Source organism: Homo sapiens, chromosome 13, assembly GCF_000001405.40.
Source record: "Homo sapiens chromosome 13, GRCh38.p14 Primary Assembly".
Classification (NCBI taxonomy): Eukaryota; Metazoa; Chordata; class Mammalia; order Primates; family Hominidae; genus Homo; species Homo sapiens.
This window is the reverse complement of record NC_000013.11, coordinates 47,086,589-47,104,406: the sequence shown is the minus strand read 5'-3', so window position 1 is coordinate 47,104,406 and position 17,818 is coordinate 47,086,589. Positions and strand designations below refer to the sequence as shown.

The 17,818-nt window shown below is 37.5% G+C and overlaps 2 annotated features.

The window, feature by feature from the left end:
• Nucleotides 670-1,869: an enhancer, noted in NCBI's record as "BRD4-independent group 4 enhancer chr13:47676673-47677872 (GRCh37/hg19 assembly coordinates)". NCBI's record gives its function as "activates an origin of replication core promoter dependent on BRD2, P300/CBP, MED14 and CDK7 cofactors, and independent of BRD4, by STARR-seq in HCT116 cells {active_cell/tissue: HCT116}" and the evidence as "EXISTENCE:reporter gene assay evidence [ECO:0000049][PMID:35650434]".
• Nucleotides 3,632-3,681: an enhancer, noted in NCBI's record as "active region_7716". NCBI's record gives its function as "activates an Ori minimal core promoter by ATAC-STARR-seq in GM12878 lymphoblastoid cells {active_cell/tissue: GM12878}" and the evidence as "EXISTENCE:reporter gene assay evidence [ECO:0000049][PMID:35858748]".

Genomic DNA, 17,818 nt, shown 5'->3' with positions numbered 1-17,818 from the left:
ATGAAGCTTAGTTTGGCTGGATATGAAATTCTGGGTTGAAAATTCTTTTAAGAATATTGAATATTAGCCCCCAGTGTCCTATGGCTTATAGGGTTTCTGCTGTGAGATCTGCTGTTAGTCTGATGGGCTTCCCATTTTTAGGTGACCTGGCCTTTCTCTCTGCCTGCCCTTAACATTTTTTCCTTCATTTTGACCTTGGAGAATCTGATGATCATGTGTCTTGGGGTTCATCTTCTCATGGAGTATCTTAGTGGTGTTCTCTGTAGTTCCTCAATTTGAATGTTGGCCTGTCTAGCTAAGTTGGGGAAGTTCTCCTGGATAATATCCTGAAGTGTGTTTTCCAACTTGGTTCCAGTCTCCCTGTCTCTTTCAGGTACTCCAATCAATCATAGGTTCAGTCTTTTTACATAGTCCCATATTTCTTGGAGGTTTTGTTCATTCCTTTTTATTCTTTTTTCTCTAATCTTGTCTGCATGCCTTACTTCAGCAAGATGGTCTTCTTCTGCTTGATCAATTTGGCTACTGGTACTTGTGTATGCTTCACAAAGTTCTCGTGCTACGTTTTTCAGCTCTATCAGGTCATTTATATTTCTCTCTAACCTGATTATTCCAGTTAGCAGCTCCTGTAACCTTGTATCAAGGTTCTTAGCTTCTTTGCATTGGGTTAGAACATGCTCCTTTAGTTCAGTGGAGTTTGTTATTACCCATCTTCTGAAGCCTACTTCTGTCAATTTGTCCATCTCATCTTCTGTGCAGCTCTATGCCCTTGCTAGAGAGGTGTTGCAATCATTTGGAGGAGAAGAGTCACACTGACCTTTTGGATTTTCAGCATTTTTTCATTGATTCTTTCTCATTTTCATGAGTTTGTCTAGTTTTGATCTTTGAGGTTACTGACCCTGGGATGAGGTTTTTGAGGGGACTTTTTTGTTGATGCTGTTGTTGTTGCTTTCTGTTTGTTTTTCTTTCAATTATCAGGTCCCTCTTCTGTAGGGCTGTTCCGGTTTTCTGGGATTCTCTTCAGGCCCTATTCATCTGGTTCACTTCCGCACCCGGAGATGTCACTCAAGGAGGTTGGAGAACAGCAAAGATGAGTGTGTGCTCCTTCTTCTTGGATCTCTGACCTTGAGGGGCACCAACCTGATGCCAGTAGGAATGCTCCTGTTTAGAGTGTCTGACAGCCCCTGTTGGAGGGTCTCACTTGGGTGGCACAGGGAGCATGACCCATTTAATGAACATTTTGGCTGTCCCTTGATGGAGGAGGTGTGCTTCACTGGGGGTAAACCCACTGGCCTGGGATGCCTGGATTCCTCAGAACTAGAAGGACGAAAGACTAAGTCTGCTGGTGTGTCTGGAGTTTGTTCCTTCTGGTAGGCTCGTGGTCTCACTTACTTCAAGAATGAAGCTGCGGACCATCACAGTGAGTGTTATTGTTCTTAAAGGTGGTGTGTCCAGAGTTTGTTCCTTCAGATGTGTCCAGAGTTTCTTCCTTCTGGTGGGTTCGTGGTCTTGCTGACTTCAAGAATGAAGCCACAGACCTTTGCAGTTAGTGTTACAGCTCTCAAAGGTGGCATGGACCCAAAGAGTGAGCAGCAGCAAGATTTCTTGTGAGGAGCAAAAGAACAAAGCTTCCACAGCATGGAAGGGGACCCGAGCGGGTTGCCGCTGCTGCCTGAGGTGGCCAACTTTTATTCCCTTGTTTGTTCCCGCCGTCCTGCTGATTGGTCCATTTTACAGAGTGCTGATTGGTCCATTTTACAAACCTCTAGCTAGCCACAGAGTGCTGATTGGTGCGTTTTTACAGAGCACTGATTGGTGTATTTTACAAACCTCTAGCTAGCCACAGAGCACTGATTGGTGCATTTAACAATCCTAGCTATGGAGTGCTGACTGGTGCATTTTACAATCCTCTTGTAAGACAGAAAAGTTTTCCAAGTCCCTACCTGACCCAGAAGTCCAGCTGGCTTCACCTCTTACTGGTCCGCAGAGACTACAGCCACCCCTCCCCCTAGGGGCTGAGGCCCAGGGAGATCAGAGTTCTGTCCCTGAGCCCATGGCTGGAGTTGTTGGAGTTCCATCATTATCTTTAAGATTCTTTATTTTATAATTAAAACTTACTTTTACATTTAATTTTCTTCCACACCACCCTGGACTTCAGCCACACTCAGCTATTGCTATCCTCCAAATATACCATTCTAGTTTGGGCATCTATTCACATGATATTTTTCTGAGACAGAAATAACCTCTGTTACTTTACTGTTTCAATGTTATGCTGATTATATGTTTGCAGCATTCACCTTTGTGAAAACAAGATCACTCTCTGAAATGGAGAATATAACTTTATCTGAAATATGAGCTCAGTCAATGTGTCAGTCATCACCATTCCCAAAGTCCCTTCCCTTAAGAAGTATACCCTTTGGGCCCAAAATTATAAGGCAACAAATTATACTCCCAGTCTTCCCTTAGACCACAGAGAAGTGAAGGCCCAGGAGATCTGCTCCCATGTGGTGGGGAGACAAAAAGTGAGAACTCAGGCAAGCCCTTGAAATGTTCCAAGTTTTAAGGATTACAGAGTATTATCCTCAGGCCAGGTATCAGGTAAGATAGGAGAGCCCTGCCAATTGTTAACACAATTATGAGAGGCCATTGTTTTGGACAAAGCTCATGTACCAGACCCCAACAGACTAGGCCAAACAAAAATGGAGTCGCTTATGCTAAATGTGACATGATCAAACTGAAACTTTAAGGAAATAGATCCTGTAAATAAATCCCACTTCTTACACCATCTATTAAAAGAACAACTTCAGACTTTTTTTTTTTTTTAATTTCCTTTGAGGTGCAGTATTCTTTGGACACAAATAATGAAGGATCCTTCTCCAGGAGACACAAGACTAAGAAAAATGTCCTTAAGGCACCTGAATGGACACCTGCACTTCTGATAGGTCCTGGTGTCACCTGATACCTAGTTGCAAACTGAAACGGGAGGTAGAGGAAGAGGGTTAGATGAACCCACATGGAGGACCGAAACCCAGATCTCAGCATCCAGTCCTGCGACCTGGAGGACTCTATGATCTCTAAGTGGATGAACTAGACCTCTACTGCCTCACCAGATATCCCTTTTCCTTTGTCTCCAGGAACCTGTCGGAAGAGAAGGGAAGCAGTGTGTACTGAATGCCATTTCTGGGCCAGGCATTGTTCTAGGCACTTTACCTATGTTCACTCACTTACTTCTCATAAAACTCATGTTTCCATTTCACACAGTAAAATGAGGCTCCAAAGAGTTACATCATTTGTAGTAAATAGCAGAATGAGGATTCAAACCTTCCTGACTCCCAAGTCCTGCCTCTTGCTTATTGCACACCAATTCCCCTAAGCTAGGATGATGATATTGCAGTGCCACTCTCATGAAAAGCCCAGGGTGGTGAGAAGGGTGTCTGCTGGCTCTCTCCTTGGACTCCAAAGGCAGTTGACAGTCTCCTAACATTCACAAATGTAATTGAATGCAACCTCCACATTTTTTGAGATCTGTACTCTTTTACAAAGCTCATTCATTTAGTCACAGCCTAATCATGAGCTCTTTATTGGGAAATTCAACGTTTGGTGGAACCAGAGACATGGCACTGATCCTCTGCATCTGTATTAGTTTGTGTTTATTGAATTACTTATGTGCCACTCCAGGAAACACCAGTATTAATATTTTGACCTGGCAAAAAGCGAAAATGATTAACTCAGTAATGTGAAACTGTTGATGCAAATTTGCAACTAGAATTAGAACACAGACTGAGATCAACAGTCAGTCTGCTGTTTGCTCTTTTGAGTACTGTTTGCATGGAAAGTTAAGGATGAAAGTAAACCAAATCAAGAGTGGTTCCATTCTTAAACCTTCAAAGGCTTAATGGGATGTTTAGTTCAGTGCCTTAAAGCACATAAATAGCTGTAAGCTCAGCAACATGGTTCCGATGTCTAGATTAGATTTACCAGTCTTTGTTTATACATGCAAAGTCAAATAGAGGACTGATGCAATTATCAGTATAATTCAGGCCAAATGTTTGCTACATGAATATTTAGCTGGTCATTACTAAGTGGGGGAACTTTTTTGCTACCATTCCTCTAACGGTCTTATATCTCTATTTTATATTTGTCAGATACAGCTTTAAGATAAGCAGCCAAGATCCCACTTTTCAGTGCAATAAATTAATATGTCATTTAGCCTCTTAAAGCTCCCCTCTTGCCCTTCTGAAAATGGACATAAACTATTAGGTTGGTGCAAAAGTAATTTCAGTTTATATGCCTTATAAAGGTTTTGCCTTTGATCTCTACATTGAATCCATCTGCACAGCCCTGGAAAGGAAGTAAATAAAGAATTGCAGCAATTAAAGAATCTCCTGTTCTCCTCAGTTCTCACTACCCCGATAATACCCTCTTGAATTCTAAACAAAATGCATGATTTAAATACAATCAGTATAAGGTTAAATATTCCCCTCCAACAAACGGTCCATTATGCATCTTTCCAGATTCTCTTTTAATTGTGTGTGAAACTGGGTGTTCTTGACAGTTAAATGAAATCTAATTGTTACATGGCCTATATTTGGCCCTTAGAAAACAAAGGGTCATAGCTTTTTCTTTCAGATTGTTGAAGAGATGGAACAATTGTTCTGATCTCTTGAGAAGTGTATGTAAGTGGTTGAAAAAACTACACCTCTGTAAGTGTCTAACTTAATCCCTTTAGCAACTGAGAGGATCATGATCAAGAGCAGGACTTACAAAAGATTATGTCCAAATTCTTGACTACCCAAACCCTATTCCTCCAGAATATATTCTTTATGTGCCTTATTAGGAAGAAACTCAAGAATGGAAACATTTTATATTTGTGTAACACTCTTTTACAAAGCACTTTAACATGTATTGTTTCATTTTGCTTGCTTAACAGCCCTTTGACATGGACAGGGAATACTGTCTACATTTTATAAAGAGAAACTGAGGCCCAAAGAGGTTAAGTAGTGGCCTGTCCAAAATCACAGAATTAATAAGAGAAGCCTGGGACCCAAGATCATATTTCCTAAGTCCAAATTTAGTGATGTCTCTATTCTTCCTCACTAGTTCCCTGCTCATAAAATGTCAGTAGAGAGGGGGCTATCAAAACTGATCCTTTCATTCATATCCCAAATCTCAGCATCATGCAATATGCCAGGTAGCAAACCTGTGCATGTACCCCAAATCTAAAATAAAATTGAAAAAAATTAATAAATTGTTATTTTTTGAAATGGATTCTTTCACATCTTGGATTTTCACTTTTATTTTTTAAAAGTCAGACATTTCAAGATCTTGAGACCTAGTAAAGCCTTTAAGAAATTAGTAATATCATGTTTAATTACTAGAAATGAATTTCTTCTCTTATTTGCTCTGTAATCATAAGGCATAAGTAACCTAAAAGAGCTCACTTCATGAATAGCCTGCAAGGCCGATGGGTCATCAATAAGACCCTGAATAAAGCCAACTGTTAACTGAGTGCCAGTTCCATTCTATGTAGCTTGGCATTTTTCACAAATGTGATACAAGTTTCCTTTTGCTTTATTTATCTATTTCCTTATGTAACTGACCTTAAGTGATTGTATAACAGTGCAAGACTGTGATTCAGTGCACTGTTCTTTCCTACTTAGTATTATTACAAGCTATTGGAGAAATACTGCTGATGTTCTCCGAAAAGGAAGCTTTTAATATTCCATTTAAAGATATTGTTGTGTTTTTCTGGGAGAAGGAATAAAAGATAAAAATGTAACACATGAGATTTTAAAATGCTAATCGATTTTCATGGAAAATGTTCATCTCAGGAATGTTTTCTGTGGTGAGCTAGGAAAAAAATAAGTATAATTAACACATGAATCATGCACAACAAGTGTGCTATAGATAACATGTTACCAAAGATATTGGGATGGACAAGTAAAGTCATTTTCTTAAAATTCCTAACTAAAATGACGTAAGAGGAGGAAATTAAGTCATACTCTAAAGTGCCACTGTTTTGTAAATGTAAAATAATTTTTATTGGAGTTTCTCTCTAGGGACTTAACAGTTGTACATATGAAAATACTTTGAAAACTTAAAAAAACATATTTCGCTCAATGACTACAGCATGCCATTAAAGTTACTGATATAAGTAGGAGCTAAACAATGGGTATATATGAACATAAAGATGGAAAAAAAACAGACACTAGGGACTCTAAAGAGGGGAGGTTGAGAGGGAGGGGAGGTTGAGAGGGAGGTGAGGGTTGAACAATTACCTGTTGGATACAATGTTTACTATTTGGGCAATGGGTACACTGGAATCCCAAACCCCACCATTAAACAATGTATCCGTGTAAGAAGCCTGCACGTATACTTCTAATCTAAAATAAAATAAAATTTTTTAATGTTCTCGCTATGCTTCACCAGAAAAAGAATTGCAGCATCCAGAGCAGCTGTTTATAAACCAACCAAACAACACCAGGGGATTTTTAAAAACACTAACAAAGTAAGGCCACCAACATTTTTGTTTTGTTTTTGATCTTGTGATGGCCACACATCAGTGCCGCTGTGCAAGGCTGCAGTAGCCATGACTTTCTTCTTTCCCTAAAATTTATCTGATTCCCTAAGGCAGGCACCATGGAATTGTCACTACTCCAGACTTGTATCCTGAGCTCCCAGCTTTGACAAACACTCATTTTTACCTTTTAGGCTTCCTTGGTTCTTTCCTCTTGTTTAGCAATTCCAATCTGTGAGAGATTTATTTTACACAGATTTATTTACTTTATGGCGATTGATACCATCAACAACCTCAGCCCTAAATAAAGATGCTTTCCTTTTTGCTTCACCATCTCCTGTTCATCCTATCCACAGTACAGTTACCTTATCCATTACGAAGCTAGAGTATCTGAACCATAAATTTAAGGTAATGTACATATGTTAAGAATTAGCACCTAAATAGTAATAGACAAATCATTGTCTCCTAAGAGAATCCTATCAAGTTTAAAGGAAACCCTACTTTGTATGTTTGAGATATGAATTTGGAGAGTTCTACCAAATTGGAAGCTCTACTAGCAACCAATTTTCTTTCTCCGCATATAAACTTGGGTCTCTACACAGTATGGGGCCAGCTCTATTTTGGAGCCTAAGCTCTTCTTTCATCTTCTGGCAACTCATTTGTAAAGCTGTAGATAAACTGGAAAGGCTTGCAGGAAAACAAGAAGAATGATTCATAGCTTGGATGAAATGATCAGTTAGAGGAGTATATAGGAATTTGTACATATACAAGTTGTTCTAGCAAATCTAAAGTCATTTCATAGCCACATATCTTATGAGTGAATATATGAAGAAGGCATATGAACATTTTTGATTAGTTAAAAGGAAATTAACCCAAAATAGGATTTGTCTTTATAAAAAAAAAGAAAGAAAGAAAGAAAGAAAGAAAGGAAAAGGAAAAGAAATCAAGCCACAGAAGTTCTTCCCTCGGTGCCCAAATTTGATCATATTGAGACTTACATTTTCATAGATAAAAATAAAGAAACTACTGTTAAAGAATAAAAACAAAACAGAAATACAGCATAGTATACCTGCATGTCAAGGACCCAAACAAGATTCAAACATACAATTTGTGTAAGCAAATTTCCAAATAGGCACACACACAAGAATAAACTTATCAGAATGAATAGGCAAAAAAGAGAAGAAGAGCAGAAATGCCTTATCTTGAAAATAATTCACCCAAATACATTGATACAATGTCTGAGATTTCTTAAAGTAGTCCAGGGGAAGTGAGTAGTAGAGAAAGAGAGAAAAATGAGATTGGCCATGAGTTAATAATTGACTAACCTGGGTGATGTACACATATGGTTCATTATACTCTTCTCTCTACTTTTGTGTATATTGGAAAATATCTATAAAAATATTTTTAAAATACTAAATAAATATAATGTCTAAAGAGAAATAATCTGCAGAGAACAAATAAATATCTGAAGGGAACAAAACTGATCTCTATATTTAATAGCAGGACTGGTCAGCACAGAGAATAAACGAAGCTGTTAAAATGATCTTTATACTGATTAATTTCTTTAATACCATAAAGATACCTGACCCTAATCTAGATATACAGTACCTGTATACCAACAGAAAACTAAAGATTATTAACTTTGATTAGTTCACATTAAATTAGTTGCTTAGATTGGTTCTTAGTTGTATGCAGAAATGACTTGATTAATTCATCTGCTAAGTTGAAACAATTTCAATCACCTTACTTATTTCTGAAGAATGAATGACATATGTTGAGGATTAAATCCTGAGATTAGCCTTCACACTGGATACTGGTGAGCTGGGGAAGGTCCCCAAATGCTTCTGGGATCTTTACCCCCAGCTAGTGTCCAGGCTCTTGACACTATTGTGAAAAGGAATTCAAAAATGAGTTAGAAAAGAGTGGAAGTACAGAGATTTATTGCAAAGCAAAAAGTACATACTCAAGAAAGGGAGTGCAGGCATATGCAGGAGAGAGTCACTCACAGAAGGGTTTGGAGCTGCTACCTTTATGGGTTTCTTTAACCAAGGGGTAAGATATTCGTGAAGATTCCTGGGAAAAGGTAGAGATTTCTCAGAACTGTAGTGCCACCCATTTTAACACTAACTATAGGTATTCTCAGAACTGTCATGGCGCTGTTGGGTATCTGATTTAGTATGTTAATGAACATATACTGAGGTCCTAGGTGAAACCTAAGTCAAATCAAGCACCATGTTGGGTCCAGTCAGTCTTAGCCAGCTTGGTCCACACCCTGCTTTTCAGGGTATTATGAGCCTGTAGCCTCTAGTTACGTGAAACTGCCACCTGGAAGTTTTTATTCTCCTGTGACCACCCTATATTATTCCTGTCTCATTTAAAGAGGTAAAATGTTCTATCTGCTTGTGGGGGATAATTCTGCCTGAGTATTCTGGGCTTCTACTTGTCTTACGAGCAGAGGTACAGACTGACCCTGTTACAGAATATCTTTTCAAGAATTTTTACGTAGAAACAACCTTGAAAGATAGAAATAGTGTCTCCATCTGAAGCAAAGGGCAGGCATGCTGGTTTCTCATTATAAAAGTTTTGGGTTCCCTAAACTCAGGGTTCTTCTGTTCTAACACAACCAACCACATGTGTAGGTATCATCTGGCCCTATTCACAATGCCTCGTGGGGATTCGGTCTCAGGGAACCAATATAAAATATGCTGATGTTCAGCCTACTTGCTATGCCATGAGTAATAAAGTCCTTGTTTCTGACCCAGGAGTCTCATGTCTCACATCCATGAACTGCTAACAGGATAATCTATTAGTTTTCAAGTAAGATAAAATCTCAGATTCTTCACAGATCTTGCTACTGCTAACACTGAAATGGTAAATATGTGTCTGGCATGAAAGTGACCTATATTGAAACTGACTAGGGAAAGCAAAACAAAACAAAAAACCTGCAGCTGAATTGTGAAGACTCTAGTTAAAAATTAGCAATGCCTGCCAAGAAAGCCAGCAGGTGGGCTGTATCATGCATGCTATTAACACTGACATTGTGAGGTTACCTTTTTCAGTGCTAGTTAATGGGAGATGCTTAATAAATGTTTACTAAACTGAAATCCTTGTTAAAATTCTAGGTGGATTTTAATGGATTGACTACTGAGAAGTCACACATTACTTATGTCCACAATTTTGATTTTTTAAATTCTCTTTTTAAAAACCAGAAGTTCTTCAAAAATTAAATAGGAGGGGAGAAGGCATCTTACACTTTGCATGCAAGATATAAGCACTGAAACTCTTATTTGTTAACATAGGCATTATTTAAAAAAGTTAACAGACTTTCTTCACTATTGAAATAGAACTTAAAAATTAAAATTACTACCATAAGTACTGCTTAAGTCCAATCTCATGTATTATTTCAAAATTTTTGCCAAGTTCTGATATAGTTAAAATGTCCCAATTTTCTTGGTGTAAATAAACAGCCTGGTCTTCAAAATAATTCAGAGGCAACATATTGTCTAGGGTCAAAAAAAAAAAAAAAAAAAAAAAAACCACTGGTGTTCCAACACTGATGAACCCCTGAGATGTTTTTTATTATCTGTAGTAAATAATATGTGGTTCTTCTCGATGGGTTAATGAAAAGATTTTGTAAATATATAATTACATATATGTAACCTGACTTTGGACTTGTCTGCCATTGCACTCTCTGGCATATGTTTATTTTTAAGGTAAGGAAAATCTTACCACTTTGAATCCTAACTGTCAGGAAAGCATAATACCTTTGATTAGTGATATTTTAGAGAAGTCATTATATGGGTAAGCCCCAGATAGGCTTGTGAACCTGCTTTTTCTACCAAAGGGGTCTGTAAAGGTAGAATATTAACTTATTTTAGTGGATGCAGCTCTGCATAAAAGCAAAAAGGTGTTAAGGTATTAATAGTGACAATGACCACTGAAGTATGACTTTCGTCATTTTATTCTGTATTTGACATGCAGCCATAATTAATCACTTGGAAATTGTTCTAAGCACATTATTTATTGTCTTTCATGCATATACAATAAATCCTTAGGAGAAACTCAGATTAAATAATCATGACTTGAGGTATGCTCAGGATTCTTTCTTGAGCAGCTGGGTGGATTATTTTCTGTGTTGGAGAAGATTGGAGGAGGAACAGTTGGCAGGGATGGGAGGGAAGGCATTTATAAAATACCCACATAAAGATGAAACAGGAAACATTTCAAGTGAATATAAAATATCAAAGTGAAGATACACAGCATCAAGGAGATACCTTCAATGAAGATAATTTGTCAAAATACCAATGATATCTAGAGCCCTGACAATTAATAAAATTATCTCGAGATAGGAAGAGCAAGAGAATGTGGTTCTGTACCAAGTTTTATAGAAGTCCAGTTTTAAAGTCTAGTAGGAGGAGATAAGGAAAGATGACAGATAAGTGATATCCAATAAGGTCACTGGACACCTAGGAGATGGTTCAAAGATGGAAACATTAACTTTGATGAGAGCTACTGGTAGATCATACAGAATAAGAACTTTCATTTGGAAAATGAAAGTGTCCAGTGACCTTGGAAGAAACATTTGCTGTTTATGAAGATAAGCAAGAATGGAATGACTTGAAGGCTTCAAAAAAGAGATATAGGTATGGAAATAGAATGTATAGATAACATTTCTGAGAAGTTAAACAAAGAGTAATGGTAATTGAAGGGGGATATAATATCAATGATGAATGGTATGTGACTGGAATGAAGTATTAGAGAGAAAAAAGTTGAATATGCCAAAAAGAGAGAAGACTCCTGAAGAAGGAATGTCCTTAGGATAATCAAAATGAAAGGGATTCAGAGAATATGTAGTGAATTAGCTGCAGTAGCAGAGAAAGGAGAGATAGGTGAAAGGGAAAATATATGAGTTTATTTGGAAATGGCAGGATTTCCAGGCAGGATGAGGATGTACACTATTAATGGCTTGAATTTTCATTAGTGATATATGAGATAAGGTCACTAGATAAAATGGTGGGTGGTGCTAGATGGAAAGTCTTAGGAGAGAGAGAGAGAGGATGAAATTGTCATTGCAGAGGGTAGGAGCATGAGCTTCCTAGAAAAATACAGTAGATTTGCAACAGTAGAATTTCTCAGCATCTGCAGCAAAACTTTCTTCACATGCAAAGTCTTCTTAATGGAACAAAAGATTCATTTTAATGTTTTGATTATACTCAATCCTGAACCACCTGTGATATTTAAGTTGCACTATAAGCTCGTTAGTGTCAAGAAGCAACTATTATTTTTCTGTTTCTGTATGGTTAGGGCTTCCTAAACAAGAGAGTACTAGTAGCCTGGGTTGCTGAATGGCAAACAAGTCTTGGAAGATAAAGGTAAATCTTGGAAATTAAAGTACATCTCTGGAAAGACTCGCTGGCTTATTTCTCCTGGAGTCATTTAGTCATTTGTTTACATTTAAGAGGATAGTAGGCCAAGGGACCTGGCTTTTTTTATAGAGAGGGTTTGTTTACATGCCAAGGAATAAAAGTGTTAACTCTCTCTTTCTCATTCTCTTTCCCTCTCTGAATGACAGGAGTGGCAGCTGTGCAAGTACCTGCTATGTAAGCTCCAAAATTCAGATGACACCTGTCTTCACCATGCTGCCCCATGGAGGATTGGGGCCTGGGAAATTCTCACGTGATGTTCTATAAGTAAATACTTGGTCTTTTCTCTGATCTGGAAACCTCGCGTTTTCTATCAGGATAAAATAAATGCATATAAAAATAATAGTTCGAAGTTACAAGTCTTTAGATTCAAGATCCTAGAACTCCTAGAGGCCAAGCTCTGGAGAAAGGTAAAACATACATTAAACAAGATGCCTATCTTAGGGAGTCTGTGTTGCTATAACAGAATATCATAGATTGGGTGATTTAAAACACAAATATTTGTTTCTCCACAGTCCTAGAGGATTCCAAGTTCAATATCAAGGTGCTGGCAAATCCAGTGTCTGGTGAGGGCTTACTCTCTGGTTTACAGATGACCAACTGTTTGTTGTAACCTCACATGGCAGACAGTAGAGAGCTCTGGTCTCTTCCTCCACTTATAGTGACACTAATACCATTTAGGAGTGCTCCACCATCATGACCTAATTAACCTCTAAATGTCCTGCCTCCAAATACCATTAACCTTGGAGATCCAGACTTCAACATATAAATTTGGGGGGGACACAAACATTCAGTCCATAGCATGCCTTTCATAATAAGCAATTGAGTACTGAAGTCTTAGCTGTTTTTCCCCCTTCCAGACAGATGGCTCTATATAGCCATTGCAAGTGGCTTTTAAAAAAATCTTTAATTTCTGAAGTTCTGAGTAAGCTTTCTAGTAGTCCAAATTTTTAGCTTATATTTTCTAATAAGCACCAGAAATTGTAACATCATGGATCATTTTTATGTTGTTGCTAATATGATAGTACTAAAATGATATGTGTTAGGGTTGTTGTTTATTGTGGGAACATTATTATCAATATAACATAATATTGAGTGAAATTCTTCCTGTTGCCTTTAAATTGGTGCAAAGCTTTCTAAAGCTGAGAAAAAGATGTGTCCCCCACTTGGAGCTAATCAGAAGACAGAAACAGACCTATCAACATGCCCAGAAAAACATTTTCATCTTGTGAACTTTCCTTTCTAATTAGGAAGAAATATTATAAAGAAATAAACAGGTATGGTGCCCCTGTATCTGCAGTTTTGCCTTCCAAGTTGTCAGTTACCCACAGTCAACTGCATTTCAAAATATTAGATGAAAAAGTCCAGAAATAAGCAATTTGTAAGTTTTAAATTACACTCTGTTCTGAGTAACATGATGAAATCTCACACCGTCCTGCTCCATTCTGCCTGCGATTAAAATCCTCCCTTTTGTCCAGCATATTCAGGCTGTAGATGCTATCTGCCTTTTAGTTATTTAGTAGTCATTTCAGTTAAAAGATTGACTGTAGTAATAGTTCAGTGCTTGTGTTCAAGTAACCTTTATTTTACTTCACAATGACCCCAAAGTACAGAAGTAGTGATGCTGCCAATTTGAATATGCCAAAAAAACCCAAAAAGCGCTTCCTTTAAATGAAAAGATGAAAGTTCTCAACTTGCTAAGGAAAAGAAAAATTGTATGCTGAGTTTTCTAAGATTAACAGTAAGAACAAATCTATCTGTGAAATTGTGAGAAAGGGAAATCAATTTGTACTAGTTTTGCTGTCACTTCTAAGACTGCAAAAGCTATAGCCACAGTGTGTGATAAGTGCTTAGGTATGCTGGAAAGGCACCAGGTGCAGTGACGCATGCCTGTAATTCCAGCTACTCAGAAGGCTGAAGTGAGAGGATCCCTTGAACCCAGGAGTTCAAGGCTGTAGTGAGCAATAATCACAAACCCTGCACTCCAGCCTGAGTGACAAACAAACAAAGTGAGGCCCCTCCTCTTTCTCTCAAAAAAAGATAAAGATGGAAAGGCATTAAATTTGTAGGTGGAAGACATGAACAGAAATGTGTTTCAATTGATAGCGATTGTGGTCAGTACCATCCTCAGTTTTAGGCATCCACTGGGGGTCTCAGAAGGTATCCCCCATGAGTAAAGGTGGACTATTGTATTATGATTTAAAAAGCAAAAACAAGACTCTGTGTCTCCAAAGATGAAGTCTTTTATTCAAGGTACTGCTATGTTTGGCCTCCTCTGCAACCCTTTGTGCAATTTTTCTGCTTCTTCAATTCTCACCAAAAAAATGTTGACTCCTTTGCTTTAGCAGCCTCTTATCTCCTGCTATAGTTTGAATGCCTCCTCCAAATTCATGTTGGAATTGAATTGTCATTTTAACAGTGTTGAGAGGCAGGACATGCAAGAGGACCATAATTAATGAATGCTATTATAGTGAGAGCAGGTTAGTCAACACAGGAATGGGTTCCTGAAGAAAAGGATGTGTCCAGCTGGATTTCGATTCTCTGCCTCACATGCTCACTTGCCCTTCCACCTTTAGCCATGGAGTGGCACAGCACAAAGGCCCTTCTCAGATGCTGGTGCCATGTGCTTGGATTTTCCAGCCTCCAGAACCACGAACCAAATAAACGTCTACTGTTTATAATATAAATTACCCAGTCCCAGGTATTCTGTTGTAGCAGCAGAAGATGGACCTATCTTAGCAAACCTCTAATGAAAAATAATTAAATTATTTAAAAGCTGCTGAAATAAATTCACTTAGAGATTAAGTATCTCCTTAAATCTGCTGACAGATTTAATATTAATTGCAGATATACCTCAAAGTAAACTTCTCAGGGATTATACTCAGAAGCAATCCATTCTCAACCTACTGATGATGTACTTTTAAAGCTTCTCTCATAGAATCTGAGTTTGAGATACTTTTACATCATCTAAAACAGCTATCTACCAAAAATTTACAATATTCTTGCAGATGGGCATGCAGCCTAAACAAGTAAAAAGGGTTTCTTGTCTCATAAATCCACTCATTCCAACACTGGCTCTCTAAGAGTGAGAAAATTCTCCTTGATATGAACCAAAATTCACCTTCCTATAAATTACATCTATTAAGTCCAGCCTATGGATCATAAAAATTCTTTTTGTTCATCCACTAGACTTCAAATAACTGAAGGTCATTGTCATGTCTGTTTTAGTCTCCCTCTTTAGTTAGTGATTCTAACATCCAAATCAGTGTCTCTTCATGCTCTTTTGATCAAAGCTTTCTGTGCCTTGGACTCATCCAGTAATGTCTCAGCGCCCACCCCAAGACCAAACTCTAGAGCACCATCAGCATCTCACCTGTTTTATGCTACAGGTATTATAGACACATTGCCTTAGACCTATGAGCTTTACAGATCTGGGCGTCGATAAAAGTGAATTACTGGCTTCAAAGTATTAAAACCTAAAAGTTGAAACTAATAAAAGTTTTACTGGATATACATAAAACATATTATGCCAATTCATTACTTATTAAATTTAATATTCATCAGAAAATTATTCCAGATAAAAACAATCTGTAGGTTTGTGTTATTTTAACTTCTCAGTAATTCCCAAGTATGTATGATGATTGCAGAGAAATTAGAGCTAATCATAACTTAAATGAGTTAGGTAGCTGAAGTGCTTCAAGAGGGAAAATCATAAAAATCTTTCCAAAATATAAGCAACGTGTATTTAAAATATGAGTGATATTTGCATTTTAACTGAAAGTCAAGGATGTCAACAGAATTATAAAGGTCTGTGAGGGGTCTTAGAAATGACCCTTAACATTATAAACAACCTCCCTAAGAACCACCTAAGAGATCTATGAGAAATGCAAAGTTCTAAGCCATACCTCAGCTCTAATAAATTAATAGTCTAACGTTTCAGACCTACTCCTTTTAACGTAAACTCCTAGATCCTATTAGCAACTTTTCCTTATTTCTTAATCACTCTTACCTTGACTTTTAGCCTGAAACCTGTCAGGCACACAGACATTTGTATCCTTCTCTTGGCTCTAAGCAGTCAGCCCTTCCATTGTTACTACAGTGTCCCAAAAATACAGCATAATCAACATAGCAACATTAATTTAAATTTTACCCAATAAGTATCAACAGAAAAATACTAGCAAAATAAATTATCAAAATAAATTTATTCTCAGCATCCCCAGTGCTAAACTGTCTTCCACTTTAATTTTTTCCTTCTTGCTTCTTGCTTCCAGCTTGCATTGCTTAAGGCATGAATGAAAACTCTGCTGCTCTGGGTGCAGAACCCAAGATCAAACAGGGTGGGTGACCTATAGCTCAAGAAATGTATCTGTAGAGTCAGAGTGTTCTGACTACCAGACCCTGAAGTAAGGAAAGACTCATTCCTTGAGCCACTTAACTAAGTAAGAAATGCAAAGGTCTTTTTGAAGACTCATCACCAAGCCAGGAAGCACTGACATTTTTGTCTAGTGGTAGATTTGAGTTAGTCATATTTCTAAAAATAATTCTAGCACTTGCTGTGCCTTAAATGGTCTCCAAGGACCCTGAAATAGTGACGAAGTCTCTTTAAATACTACTGGGATATGACTTAGAGGCCAAGAACTACAGAGTTCAATAAATATTAATAAATTTTGATGTTAAAATAAAAAAATTACTATAGAATATTCAGCATATCTGCTTTTTATATCATTTTCTACAGGAGATTAAATTCTAGACACAGCCAACACTGGTCTAACACCAATAGCTGACGGGATAAAACATTTATCATTGTGAGACTGCTTATAAAAAATAGCAACCCCTTTCTTAAATTAAAATCAACTTCTTTGAAATCAAGTATATCCATTTAAGGCCTTAATACTAAAAAAATAACATCTTGCGGAGGATTTTTTAATATTCGACTTGTCAATGTATCTGTCCTTTGCCAAAAATAAATCAGAGTGCTAAAAGACAACTTTGGCAACAGAACTTAACATAATTACTGAATCTTCAGAATGAAACATTCATAAAAATAAACACTGGCCACATGCCTGGACCCATATAGAAATTCGGCTTGGTTCTGTATATTGATGGCACATTTAACACAACCAATTTCACTATAGATTAACAAAGCTCAGAAGAGATATATATAGATAGAATCTAGCTATCTATCTGTATCTATCACCTCTCTCTATATATAGATCTATATAAAGAGATAATTACATAGATATCTATATCTACCAATAATTATATATAAATATCTATAATTATATGCATAATTGACTTTTTATACAAGCATAACTAACAAGGACAAAGAGAAAAGGAAAGGTAATAATAACAACAGAATTTTGGAAACTGGAAAGCAAATGGACAAGTGGCAATTTGCTTGGCAGAACTGAAAGAACCAAATCCTAAGCTGGCAATGGGGAAAACTGAAAAGCAGTATGACTTACACAGCAGATGCTCAAAAGGCTATGAATTCAGACCAAGGGCTGAGATCTATATACATGCTATGATAAGAAAGATTGGTTTAAAGGACATACAATTAAGTATGGGATATAATAAGTATGGGATCCCAGATCCCATACTCACTTGATGCTGCTGAGTTACTGCCACTCCTCCAGGACCGCAGAATGCTGAAGATTTCTTCCCTGGAGAGAGTAAGGCACAGGATCACTGGACTCACAGGTACACACACAATGAAGATGCTAGGGATACCTCACTGCAAACAGGGAGTAGGGGACACCTCAGTGCAAAAAACTTTAGCATGTTGGGTGCTGAGGTCCTAGAGGTTGATTCCCCTGTTGGCTCTCAAGACAATGGCAACCCTGTCATTACTATCCAGACAAGACGTTACAAGAATCTTTTC